The sequence below is a fragment of the Homo sapiens genome, chromosome 9 (assembly GCF_000001405.40).
Source record: "Homo sapiens chromosome 9, GRCh38.p14 Primary Assembly".
Taxonomy (NCBI): Eukaryota; Metazoa; Chordata; class Mammalia; order Primates; family Hominidae; genus Homo; species Homo sapiens.
This window is the reverse complement of record NC_000009.12, coordinates 62,838,402-62,852,488: the sequence shown is the minus strand read 5'-3', so window position 1 is coordinate 62,852,488 and position 14,087 is coordinate 62,838,402. Positions and strand designations below refer to the sequence as shown.

The 14,087-nt window shown below is 39.2% G+C and overlaps 3 pseudogenes across 2 annotated transcripts, besides 2 other annotated features; all 3 read right to left on the bottom strand.

The window, feature by feature from the left end:
* Nucleotides 1-5,282: 5,282 nt before the first annotated feature.
* PTGER4P2-CDK2AP2P2 (PTGER4P2-CDK2AP2P2 readthrough, transcribed pseudogene) lies at nt 5,283-14,044 on the bottom strand (annotated as a pseudogene). 2 transcript variants are annotated; one of them, NR_135010.1, is made up of 3 exons: nt 11,687-11,844; nt 8,307-8,684; nt 5,283-7,870 (listed from the first exon to the last, which is right to left on the bottom strand). The product of NR_135010.1 is annotated as a PTGER4P2-CDK2AP2P2 readthrough, transcribed pseudogene, transcript variant 2 (transcript). The 2 variants fall into 2 exon arrangements; NR_024496.1 differs by lacking the exon at nt 11,687-11,844 and adding an exon at nt 13,742-14,044 and having other exon boundaries at nt 5,283-8,684.
* Nucleotides 6,878-7,751, bottom strand: CDK2AP2P2 (cyclin dependent kinase 2 associated protein 2 pseudogene 2; annotated as a pseudogene).
* Nucleotides 7,458-7,991: an enhancer, noted in NCBI's record as "H3K27ac-H3K4me1 hESC enhancer chr9:66500322-66500855 (GRCh37/hg19 assembly coordinates)". NCBI's record gives its function as "activates a minimal SCP1, AML or CMV promoter by ChIP-STARR-seq in naive H9 embryonic stem cells {active_cell/tissue: H9 hESC(naive)}" and the evidence as "EXISTENCE:reporter gene assay evidence [ECO:0000049][PMID:30033119]".
* On the bottom strand, nt 8,318-8,700 carry PTGER4P2 (prostaglandin E receptor 4 pseudogene 2; annotated as a pseudogene).
* Nucleotides 13,775-13,984: a silencer, noted in NCBI's record as "silent region_19925". NCBI's record gives its function as "represses an Ori minimal core promoter by ATAC-STARR-seq in GM12878 lymphoblastoid cells {active_cell/tissue: GM12878}" and the evidence as "EXISTENCE:reporter gene assay evidence [ECO:0000049][PMID:35858748]".

The following is a 14,087-nucleotide window of genomic DNA, read 5'->3' as shown; positions in this document are numbered from 1 at the left end:
ATTACATCCTAAGACTAATTAAAAGAGGGTATCACAAAAATAGAAATGATAGCGACAGAAAATGGTCCCAATTTTCACTGCACTGTTGCTAAGACCACCTTGCCACTCATCATTATAGAATGCCTTTCAGGTAACATAATAAGAGCCATTTTTAAAATGGAACCTTACTATACCCATGTGTGACAGGCAGAGGGACTCTATTATTATTCATAGTTTACAGATGAAGCAGTTAGATTTGCCCCAGGTCACTGGCTTATTCAATGACAGGCTAAGACAGAACCAAGTTTTATTCTCAAATAAGACCATAAAGAAGAAGATTGATCCAAATGACTTATAAAATTTTCTTACAGCCCCAGTAACAATCATAGATAAGCTAATGATTTCTTTAATAAAAATCTGATATGACAAGTAGAATGTGACAGAATCAACATGATCAATTAATCAGATTTGGGTAGTAGTTTGGTAGCTAAATGTTGGATACTCTTGGACATAAAGATGACAGTATTTATGACGATAAGGATGAGCATTCCACAGTTTGAGAATTTCTACAGAGAGAGAGATGAAGAAAATTTCTGAAGTAATTGAAACTGTGTGAAGATGAATTATTTGGTTGATGAACTGCTATCATTCTAAATGGACTTCACTTTCTCGAAAAATAACGCATAAAGATGAAGTATGTATTGAATGAAAATTATATTTTGTTTTTCCATTTTTTACCTAATAAAAAAATCAGAAAAACAGATTTTTTTCAAAAAAAGAAAAGATGACTATAATAGACAATGGAGACTAGTAGAGGCAGTAGGGAGGGCAGCCAGGGTTGAAAAACTACAGGGTACTAAGCTTCGTATCTGCATGATGAGATCAGTCATACCCCAAACCTCAGCATGGCACAATATACCCGGGTAACAAACCTGCCTAGACATTTGTGTAAAATGAGATGATTGCAGGGTAGTTTTAAAAGTCATTCCCCTTATGAAAATATGGAATGTTGTGTACATTATTTCATAGACTTTGTGCTTAGTTAAAGGTCTTAACCAAAAATTCTAAATGATTTCTCCTATTAATAAATAAATATCAATAACATCATTTTAATGAGCTCTATGAAGACCTTATTGTGTGATTGTATCATAATTCAACAAGTGCCCTATTGTTGAACACTTAGGCTCTTTCTGATTATTTCCCTTTACAAAAAATGCTATATTATAAATTGTTGTATGTATTTTTAAGTTATGAAATTTTTAGGGCAAAAGGTGAATAAATGTAAGGTCTTTGATAAATACTGTCAGAATTCTCTCCATAGAGGATATGATAAAGCATCTTTTCATTTGAAGGAGCAAGAAAAACTGCTAAATACTTCTGAGACTTCCAGTACTTTTTTGGTTTTAAGTTTTTTTGTTGTTTATTTGGTTTTTTGGAGGTTTTCTGTTTTGTTTTATAAGTAGGTTTCAGTATTACTAAGTATTCAGTCATGGTGGATATTCGAAGAATAATTTCTCTCTTTGGGATTATTCCTCTAACACTATGAGCAAGTATCACTGTGTTCTTTCTCTAAAGGAAAATATGAAGCATAGACAAATTAAATGCTGCTCAGATTCTAAAACTATGAAAATATAACAATGGAGAAACAAATAGCAAGTCTGTAGCTACTCAGTGACTTTAGCATTGAGTGGATCCTAAAATGCCTATTTTGCACAGAATGAAAAAGATACAGCAGGTTCCTTTGGAAGATCAAAGTGAGAAAATTGACTACAGCTTTAACAGCCTTAAAATAAATTTTTGGCAGAATGGAAAAGTATGCATAATTGAGAAAAGTACACTAATCTGTAGAATAAAATAGATATAAAAACAGGCTAAACCGTAATGCTGCTGCCTGTTCTTTTCACAACAATCTTCCACCTGTCCCTGACTGCTGTGTTTAGGGAATCAAAGTTTAGAGCTGAAAAAGTAGGAGGTTGGAGAGTTTAGGAGGAAGGCAGTGTAGGGCTGTGTAAATTGCAGAGAAGTCGGAGCCAGAAGACTTGAGTGGCATGCGATTGTGGATGGGCTATGAAATCTGGAAGCCTGCCTTTAAATACCAACTCAGACATTTACTAATCCTATGATCCCAGGCAAATACCATATCCTCTCTTTGGCTCAGTTTCTACATTTTTAAATAGAGATAAAAATAGTGCCTTACTGCCAGGCGCGGTGGCTCAAGCCTATAATCCCAGTAGTTTGGGAGGCCGAGGCAGGCGGATCATGAGTTCAGGAGATCGAGACCATCCTGGCTAACACGGCGAAACCCCATCTCTATTAAAAATGCAAAAAATTAGCTGGGCGCGATGGCTCACGCCTATAATCCCAGCACTTTGGGAGGCCGAGGCGGAAGGATCACGAAGTTAGGTGATCGAGACCATCCTGGCTAACAAGGTGAAAACCCATCTCTACTAAAAATGCAAAAAATTAGCCGGGCGTGGTGGTGGGCGCCTGTAGTCCCAGCTACTGGGGAGGCTGAGGCAGGAGAATGGCATGAACACGGGAGGCAGAGCTTGCAGTGAGTCGAGATCGCGCCACTGTACTCCAGCCTGTGCGACAGAAGGAGACTCCGTCTCAAAAAAAAAAAAAGTGCCTTATTTTCCCAGTGCCTGACTCATATTATTTATTAAATATTAGCCATTCTTTTATTATATAACTAGATTGGAACTGGGCAGGTCACCTTACCTTGTGTCTCAATTTCTTCAACTGTAAAATGAAGTAGTTAGACAATGTGAGCATGTGATATCACAACTAGATGTGAAAGTCTATGGTCCTATCACAACAGCAACAACAACAAACTCACTGGATGCTATCATGCTACCATTAGAGTAGGTTTGGAAATGATCCGAAGCCAGCAAAGTGAATATGAAAATAAAGAATTCAAAGCACAGTAGGGGAGAAAAGGAGAGAGGGGAAATAAGAAAAGTCACTTCTACAGATAGATTTTTTACATCTACATTTATCATCTGATACTATATCAATATGATTGATTGCATAGGCAATAAAGTTACTATAAAACAGTCATTTGTGCATTGCAAGAAGAGTGGTTTTTTCCAACTTCCCTTTGTAAACCAATAAGTGAATGAGGCAGATCTCAAGTGATTTAGAGATTTTGCTTTGCAAGGTGGAGGATACACCTGGGAAAAAGGATCACAAGTCACAAGTAGGTGATGTCCTGTGCTTTTTCTAAAGAGGGTTTTGGGAACTTCAATATTTAAAGGAGAAAGAGGAAGCAGGCAGGAAATTAAAACAGGGGAGGAAAAGAAGGAGAGAGGGAAGGCAAGAAAGCTAATGGCTACATTCTTGTGAGGCTCTGATTAGTGCTCAGTGAATCTATATGTTACATGTGGCAAAAACAGGAGGAAGGAGTCAGTTGTGCATTCATCCTCTCTCTCAGGAAATCTACATTTTACGTAAGTTAAAGTAAGCATATGAAAGTACAGCTGTTTGGGAACAAAAGGATGGCAGTTTTTGCATGACTCACGTTCCAAGCTTAATTTTCCTTTGTCATAGTGAGTTTGGGGTCCTGAGATTTTATTTTCCTTTCACACTTTCTACCAATATAAAGCTTCCTCATAGATGCCTTCTTTTTTCAAACATTAACAACCCTCATGGTTTTCTCTCATTTTAAGTACAGAAAACATAATACTGTACAATAATTTTATCTGTCTTAAATACAAGACTGCTTATGATTCACTTAAAATAAAAAAAATGGCTCCACATTTCTGGCTTTTAGTTGGATTATGATTTCAACAAAAAATCAGAGCTTTTTAACCTTGAGTTTGAGTTTCACACACCCAGTAAAGTGGAAATATAGACTTTTTCTTAGGACAGTGTTATGACACTCAAAAGAATCGTGGCCAAACTTAATTACCTGTTGCAAACATCATTGCAGTTTTTTACTGAACTATCAGAGACTTTCTTGTGCCTATCACAGTGTATATGCTAAATACATATTACAGGGCCAGGCACGGTGGCCCATGCCTATAATCTCAATGCTTAGACAGGCCAAAGCAGGAGCATTGCTTGAGGCCAAGATTTTGACACCTGCCTGGGCAACATAGCACAACCCCATCTCTAATTTTTTTTTTTTTAATTAGCCAAGCATGGTGGTAGGTGCCTGTAGACCAAGACACTTGGGAGGCTGAGATGGGAGGATCAATTGAGCCCAGGAGTAAGGTTACAGTGAACTATGATCACACCCCTGCACTTCAGCCTGGGTGACAGAGTGAGACCCTGATTCTAAAAATAAAAAATAAATTAAAAATACATAAATACATAAATAAGTATTATGGAATCAACAAATAAATAAATTGAAAAAAGGATTGCATAAAATTACTTAGTAATGAGGCCTTTGTTGTCTATCCTTATATAAAATAAATCCCCAGGCCCCCACATCCCCCTTACTGTTCTTATTTTTCTCCATACCATTCATAGTCATGTTATACTACATATGTATTTGTTGATGGTCTTTCTCTTACTGGTAGAATGTAAGCTCCATGATAGAAGAGACGTTGTTGATGTTTTCCTTTGTATTTTTTTCACTGCTTAATTCCCAGTGCACACAGTAAGCACACAATAAATATTTACTGTATGGATATTTAAGCAAGTCACTTCCCTCAATTTCTTCAAATTATTTATGTCACTTTGAAGGTAAAATCTCTCTTCTATACATCATTTTTCCTTCAATCTCCACTTTTAATATCTGTCACTGGCAAACGTAATAAGTATACTCATTGTTCAGGTCAATAATGAGAAATTTAAGCACTTTATTAAATATTTATTGAGTGTTCCTCTATAATGGACACTCTACTATACATTTCTGCCTTATTTGTGGAATGTATTCAATGTAATTATGCCACACAGGTAGACTTCCAGATCCTTGTGTCAAACTTACTTTCCTTGGCTTTGTTGGAGAACACATACTGTTATGAAGCTCACTTTAAGGCAAATATTTCCTGAAAATACAAAACTGATAGATATATGTATGTAGGTTTCCTTCTTATATGTCTTTTACAAGCAATGAAGTTGTATATCTCCTTTAGTGTTTAATGTGTTTCATCAGATAATGCCCTAGAAGTTTTATCAAATTTTTCTGTCCATCTTTTGAAGGTGTATGAGAGTGAAAAAATGCAGTCTGCTGCTTCACTAATAAAACTAGGACAAACGCCACTCCAACTGAAATATGTGAAACACTTGGTTTTATTAATTTGAAGCATTTTAAACCTCTAAATTTGGACTCGAGTAAAGACATTTCATAGAAAAACTGAAATATTTTTTGTTTATTTTTTAATCTTGATAACTTGTAATAGTTTACAGCCACAGTGGCAGCTTTTATATGTGTACATGCATTTAAATACAGTTTCATAAATAGCCATGTGGCAAAATATCTGCCTCTAGGCAAAAAAAAAATATTTGCCACTAAATGAACATCTTTAAGTAATATTGAAAATAGATGTGAGGTAATTTTTTATCTAAAGTGACTGTAGCCTATATTAAGACATACTCACTGTAACAATTCAAGTTTTAAAATCCTTGTTTTATAACTCAAAAATGTGTCTTTTCCAAAAAACACATCTTTACATTTATTGCTATTGTACATTCATTTGGCAGGAAACAGGGATGTTTGATGTCTTGCAATGATAAAACAATCATATTCAATAGAAAATTATCTCACATTCTGCATGACTTTTGAACATTCTATAAGATAATTACATAAGTGAAAAACCAATTTGTAGATATCTGAGTGAGTACAACCATTTAATAAATGTGAATAAAGCATTTCAGAACATTTTAATGTACACTGCATTTTCTGATAGTAAGATTTTAGGTTAAAATAAGATTATACTTTAAAAAGCTTACCGTTATGAAAAAAAATTATATCACTGTTGGCAATGCCTTTTTCATATTTGAGATGCTAGTCCAACATATTGCATATCCATTTGTTTTTGTTTGACTTTATTGTTATTACATTCATGGTAATACTAAAATACACACACACACAATTACTTAGGTTTTTTTTTTTCAATAAAAAGCCCAAAGAAAAATGCTGACAACGTTCAGTTGAAATTTTGAAATTGGGTTTTATAATTCTGCCTACATAGCAAAAGCTGAAATGGTCTATGAAGATGTAGTTTTTGAAAGAATGAAGCAAGTAGTAAAACCAACAAAACCAAGTGAAAATTATACAAGGAAACACAATAATAAGTTAACAAAAAAATACACTTTTTCTTCATGTTGACAAGACATGATTTATTCCTTTCTAATATTTTCCCATCTCTTATAAATATATAAGCTTGCTTGCTAATACTTTGTCTAACTCTAATTTTTATTCTGTTACCAATGTCATTAATACTTTATTTTTCTTTATTTCTCTTGTAAAGTGACTTCTGAACTTCCTAGTTTGTTTAAACTATCGCAAGGTCAGAAAACCAAACACTGCATATTCTCACTCATAGGTGGAAATTAAACAATGAGAATACTTGGACACAGGCAGGGGAACATCACACACTGGGGCCTGTCATGGGGTGGGGGGCTGGGGGAGGGAGAGCATTAGGAGAAATACCTAATGTAAATGACAAGTTAATGGGTGCAGCAAACCAACACAGCACATGTATACAGATGTAACAAACCTGCACGTTGTGCACATGTACCCTAGAACTTAAAGTATAATAAAAATAAATACATAAATAAAATAAAATGAATAAAAAATAAATACAAACATATTAATCATAAGTAAATGAAACATCTGATAATCTCATTATGTCTGGTAGTAATGTCACCTCTGAGTATTTAAATATTCATCTACATATTTCTTTGCTAAATTTCCTTTTATTTCTCCTTTATATTAAACTTTTTTTTAGAGAGCACAACTCCAAAGCATCTTTTATTAATATAGAAAGGTCATATTTAGCAAAAGACACAAGGCAGGGAAGTGTCAGGCCTGAGGCCTGAGCTGTGCTGAGGGAGAAAGAGGCTCTGGACAAGTGCTGGGAAGGGCTGAGTGGTGGGCGCCACAGAAAGTTCCAGTGGGCAACACTGTCTGCAGGTCATGGGTGGGACTCACGGGGACCTCGCTGCTAACTCTTGTTGCGTTGGCGGGGTGGGGTGGGGAGGGGGGTCCTTAGTGCTGCCACCTGCAGTGAGAACCGCCCCTTGGTTCCTGGAGGGCACCCATCAAGGGACACAGGACAGGAAGCCCAGGATGGTTAGTGCAACTAGGGATGAAGGCCAGGGAGAAGCAGGTGCTCTGAAGTCCAGACACAGAGGCCTAGGAGCTTCCTGTTAAGTGTGGCCGTTCCGCTCTGTCTCTACCAGGCACTCTGACTAGGGATGGATGATACCTCTCTTCAGGCGCTCCGCGGCGCTCTTGCTGCCAGCATAGGTGGGCCGGATCCCTTTGCCCATCTCCCCTGTGACCAACAGCAGTTCCGTGTAGGTGCTCTGGGAGCCCTGGGCACCAGGTGGTTTCATGGCCTGCACACAACCGACCGTAGGTGGTCCAAAGTCTTTAAACAGCGGTCTGCAAGGGGCAGTGGCTCCCGGCCCTGAGCCCGACGGCGACGGGACGCTTCCTGTAGGGACCGGAGTGCCTGGCCCAGGGGTGCTGAAGCCGGGGGTGCTGCTGGGGGCAGGGGTGGTAGGTTTGTAGGACATCCCCAACTCCTGGGCGCTGGGGAAGCCAGCAGGCTGCTCTTCGGGGGTTGGCTGCGGGACCGCTCAGCAGCGATCTGATTGGCAAGCGGGCTGCACGCCCCCTGGTAAATCTATATTAAACGTTTTAACTGCAATTTGTATTAATCTAAATACAGTTCAAATATTCTCCATGAAAATTTCACATTTGAGTTGAGACATCCTAAAATGTAAAATACACAATGGATTTCAAAGATTTCATATGAAAAAAGAATGCAAACTATCTCTAATAATTTTTATATTGATTACATATTGACCCAATATTTTGGATATATATTGGGTTAAATAAAATATACAATTTAAAAAAATTATGCTACATTTTTGTTAAAAAATTTAAATAAACTATATATGAAATTATTTCTTGGGATAGAAAAGGGGACATGATTAAATATTTACTTAAACTTTTTTCAAAAACATATCTTTAAAACAGATTTTCAAACACAAAAGTATTTTAATTTTGAATAGGTAAAATAAACTTATTCCTGCTGAAATTCAATCATGGCATGATTTCCTTTGTATGCATTTGAGGACTCTGTTTATAACCCAGATAAAAACATAAAACTTTTGAAACTCTTCTAAGAATGTCTAACACAAATTACCTGTATAGATATCATGGCACAGACGATGCTGAGGCCGGACTGACTGAAGAAGAACAGGCTGAAGATGCTGTACTCACACAGCAGCTGGCCCCCAGGTTACCCGCCCTTCATGTACATGGCGATGGTCACCTGGCTCACCAGCAAAGTGAACAACAGGTCGGTGGCAGCCAGCCGCATAACTGTATAGAAGGTGGTCTCCTTCTGCTCCTTGCGCGACTTGCACAGCACCACGATGGCCACCAGGTTGCCCACCACCCCGAAAATGGACGGTCCCAGGCTGTCCAGCAGATTGGGCTCCAGGCCAAGGACACATTGGCCTGGGAAGGGGTTAACATGACAGTGGCTGGTGGTACGCAGCCCTGGAGTGCAAAGCTGAGTCTGGAGATGGCAGAAGAGAGACAAAGCCACCATGAGTGAAATGACCACCTGCAGGGCATTAGACCCGCGCCCAGGAAACGGGATGCTAACATGACAAGGGAGGAACTCAATCCCACTCTCTGGATTGCAACCACTTACCAACGGCAGCCACCCAAATCTCCAGGCTCGCTCTGCTCCTGCCAGCAGCACACCCTTGCTGATCTTAATATTTATAAACTGAGCCTCCCATTCCTCTTCCTCCCCCCAGCCTATCTCACTCCACTGACAAGACCCATCTCCAGGGAAAGGTAGCTCCCTAGTATTATTCCCGACAGATTCTGAGTTAATAAAATGCACATTGAAACCCTGGAAGACAATTTGGAAAGCGCTCTCTTTCCTCCTTGGCTCCCCTGGCAGCGCCGCATCTCCGCGCCCTTTGCCTGATGGCCCACATCCCATGTCACGTGTAACGGCCCCAGTGGTGGGGCCTAAGACAATGAAACCTAAGACTAATTGGTGTACCTGAGGAAGAAGTGAATTCTAAAGGCTAGGAAAACATATTTGGGGGAATAGTCAAGGAAAACTTCCGTGGCCTTGTGAGAGACCTAGACATCCAAATACAAGAAGCACAAATAACACCTGGGAAATTCATCACAAAAAGATCTTAGCCTAGGCACATTGTCATTGGGTTATCCAAAGTTAAGACAAAAGAAAGAATCTTAAGAGCTGTAAGACAGAAGCACTAGGTAACCTATAAAGGAAAACCTATCAAACTAACAGCAGATTTTGCAGCAGAAACCTTAAAAGCTAGATGGGATTGGGGCCCTTTCTTCAGCCTCCTCAAACAAAACAATTATCAACCAAGAATTCTGTATCCAGCAAAACTAAACATCATATATGAAAGAAAGATACAGTCATTTTCAGACAAACAAATGCTGACAGAATTTGCCATTACCAAACCAGCACTGTAAGAACTGCTAAAAGGAGCTCTAAAATCATGAAACCCTGGAAACACATCAAAACAGAACTTCATTAAAGCATAAATCACACAAGACCTATAAAACAAAAATACAAGTTAAAAAGCAAAAACAAAAAACAAAAACAAAGTACAGAGGCAACAGAGAGCATGATGAAAGCAATGGTACCTCACTTTTTAATACTAATGTTGGTTGTAAATGGCTTCAATGCTCCACTTACAAGATACAGAACCACAGAATGGATAATAACTCACCATCTAACTATCTGCTGCCTTCAGGAGACTCACCTAACACATAACGACCTACATAAACTTAAGGAAAGTGGTAGGAAAAGGCATTTCATGCAAATGGACACCAAAAGCGAGCAGCGGTAGCTATTCTCATATGAGACAAAACAAACTTTAAAGCAACAGTAGCTAAAAGAGACAAAGACAGACAGTATATAATGGTAAAGGTCTCATTCAACAGAAAAACATGACAATCCTAAACATACATGAACCTAACACTGGAGCTCCCAAATTTATAAAACAATCACTAGTAAACATAAGAAATAAGATAGACAGCAACACAATAATAGTGGGGGACTTCATTACTCCACTGACAGCACTAGACAGGTCATCAAGACAGAAAGTCAACAAAGAAACACTGGATTTAAACTATACTTTGGAACAAATGGACTTAACAGATATATAAGAACATTTCATCCAACAACCACAGAATACACATTCCATGCAACAGCACATGGAATTTTCTCCAAGATAGACCATATGATAGGCCATAAAATGAGTCTCAATAAATTTAAGAAAATTGAAATTGTACCACGCACTGTCTCAGATCACAGTGGAATAAAACTGAAAATCAACTCCAAAAGGAATCTTCAAAACCATGCAAATACATGGAAATTAAATAACCTGCTCCTGAATGAGCACTGGGTGAAAAACAAAATCAAGATGGAAATGGAAAAAATTTCTTTGAACTGGATGACACAACCAATCAAGACCTCTGGGATACAGCAAAGGCAGTGCTAAGAGGAAAGTTTGTAGCCCTAAACACCTATGTCAAAAAGTATGAAAGAGCACAAACAGACAATCTAAGTTCACATCTCAGAGAACTGGAGAAGCAGGAACAAGCCAAACCCAATCCCAGCAAACAAAGGAAATAACCAAGATCAGAGCAGAACTAAATGAAATTGACACAGCAACAACAACAACAACAAATACAAAACATGAATAAAACAAAAAGTTGGTTATTTGAAAAGATAAACAAAATCGATAGACCATTATAAGATTAACCAAGAAAAGAAGAGAGGAAATCCAAATAACCTCACTAAGAAATGAAACAGGGGATATTACAACTGACACCACTGAAATATTAAAGATTATTCAAGGGTACTATGAACACCTTTTGGCACAAAAACTAGAAAACCCAGAAGAGTTGCATAAATTCCTGGAAAAATACAACCCTCCTAGCTTAAATCAGGAAGAAGTAGATACCCCAAGCAGACCAATAAAACAAGCAGCAAGATTGAAATGGTAATTTTAAAATTACCAACAAAAAAAGCCGAGGACCAGACAGATTCACAGCAGAATTCTACCAGACATTCAAAGAATATTTTCTTTTATTCAAAGGAGAAATGATACCAATCCTTTCACACTATTCCACAAGACAGAGAAAGAAGAAACACTCCCTTCTTTCTATGAAGCCAGCATCACCCTAATACCAAAACCATGAAAGGACATAACCAAAAAAGAAAACTACAGACCAATATCCATGATGAACACAGATGCCAAAATCCTTAACAAAATACTATCTAACTGAATCCAACAACATATCAAAAAGATAATCCACCATGATCAAGTGGGTTTCATACCAGTGACACAGGAATGGTTTAACATATGCAAGTCAATAAATGTGATACACCAAATAAACAGAATTTAAAAAAAAACTCACATGATTTTATCAACAGATGCAGAAAAAGCATTTGACAAAATCTAGCATTGCTTTATGATTAAAGCTCTCAGCAAAATAGGCATACAAGGGACATACCTTAATGTAATAAAAGCCATCTATGACAGACCCACAGCCAACATAATACTGAATGGGGAAAAGGTGAAAGCATTCCCTTTGAGAACTGGAACAAGACGAAGAGCCTACTCTCACCACTCCTTTTCAACATAGTACTGGAGGTCCTAGCCAGAGCAATCAGACAAAAGAAGGAAATAGAGGAAATCCAAATCGGTGAAGAGGAAGTCAAACTGTTACTGGTTGCTGACGATATGATCTTTCGCCTTGAAAACCCTACGGACTCCTCTAGAAAGCTCCTAGAACTGATAAAAGAATTCAGCAAAGTTTCCAGATACGAGATTAATGTACACAAATCAGTAGCTCTTCTATACATCAACAGCTACCAAGCTGAGAATCACATCAAGAACTCAACCCCTTTTACAATAGCTGCAAAAAACAAACAAAAAAAAACAAACAAAACTTAGGAATATACCTAGCAAAGTAATCAAAAGACCTCTACAATGAAAATTACAAAACACTGCTGAAAGGAATCATAGATGGAGCCAAGCACGTTGGCGCATGCCTATAATCCCAGCTACTCGGGAAACCGAGGCAGGAGAATCACTTGAACCCGGGAGGCAGAAGTTGTAGTGAGCCGAGATCACACCATTGCACTCCCACCTCAGCGACAAGAGCGAAACTACCTCTGAAAAAAAAAAAAACAAGAAAGAAAAGAAATCATAGATGACACAAACAAATGGAAACACATCCCCATGCTCATGGATGGGTAGAACCAATATTGTGAAAATTACCATTCTGTTAAAGGCAATCTACGAATTCAATGCAATCCCCATCTGAATACCACCATCATCCCTCACAGAATTACAAAAACAATTCTAAAATTAATATGGAACCAAAAGAGTGCCATGTAGCCAAACCAAGGCTAAGCAAAATGAACAAGCCTGGAGGCATCACACTACTTGATTTCAAACTGTACAATAAGGCCATAGTTACCAGAACAGCATGGTACTGGTTTAAAAATAGGCACATAGACCAATGGAACAGAAGAGAGAACTCAGAAATTAACCCAAATACTTACAGCCAACTGATCTTTGACAAAGCAAACAAAAACATAAAGTGGGGAAAGGACACCCTTTTCAACACATGAAGTTGGGATAATTGGCGAGCCACATGTAGGGGAATAAAACTGGATTCTCATCTCTCACCTTATACAAAAATCTACTCAAGATGGATTAAGAATTTAAACCTAATTCCTGAACTGTAAAAATTCTAGAAGATAACACTGGATAAACCCTTCTAGACATTGGCATAGGCAAGGATTTCATGACCAAGAACCCAAATGCAAATGCAATAAAAACAAAGATAAATAGCTGGGACTTAATTAAACTAAAGAGCTTTTGCATGGCAAAGGGAACAGTCAGCAGAGTAAATAGACAAATCGCAGAGTGGGACCCCTGACCCTGACCCCTAACCACTGACCCTGACCCCTAACCCCTGACACAAACCCTAACCACTATCCCTAACCCCAACCCTCACCCTAACCCAACCCTAACCCCTAATCCCTAACCCCTAACATCTCTTAAACCCTAACTCTAAACGTTGACTCCTAACCCCTAACTCTGACCCCAATCCCTATCTCCAACCTCTAACCCTAAACTTAACCCCTAACCCCTAACCCTAACACCAACCTTAACCCTAGGTTCGTTACTAAGTTTGTATTGACTATGTCAATGTTGATTATTATGATGGCTGTCTTTGGACTGCACGGCAGCGAGGGGATTGCGGATCTTATATTAATATTTTTGTATTGAGGCAGCGCATTAGCATTACAGGTGCTTGTTACATGAGCAATGGGGGTGTCATACTTTGGGTGTCATGTCTGCATTAGGAATGCCGCATTTGTCTTCCGAGGCTGCGGTGTGGATCTCGCACTGCGGCCGCCTCGCCTTGGCTGGGGAGAACCTCGGTGGGCAGGATTCAGAGGGGCTTTTGGTTTCCCGTTTTCCACACTGAACCCTTCTAACTGGTCTCTGACCCTGATTATTCAGGGCTGCAAACAGGAAGGATTTTATTCACCGTTGATGCGGCCCCGAGTTGTCCCAAAGCGAGGCAGTGCCCCCAAGGTCTGTGCTGAGGAGAACGCTGCTCTGCCTTCGCGGTGTCCCCTGGGTGTGTGCTGAGCAGAACGCAGCTCCGCCCTCGCGGTACCCACGGCCCGCCCGCCCGGGTCTGTGCTGAGGCGAACACTGCTCCGCCTTCGCTGTATCTCCGAAGTCTGTGCAGAGGAGAACTCAGCTCCGCCCTCGCGATGCTCTCCGGGTCTGTGCCGAGGAGAAGGCAGCTCCGCCCTAGCAAAGGCAGAGCGCCCTTCGCAAAGGCAGAGAGGCGCAGGCGCGGAGGGGGTGCAGGCGCGGAGGGGGCG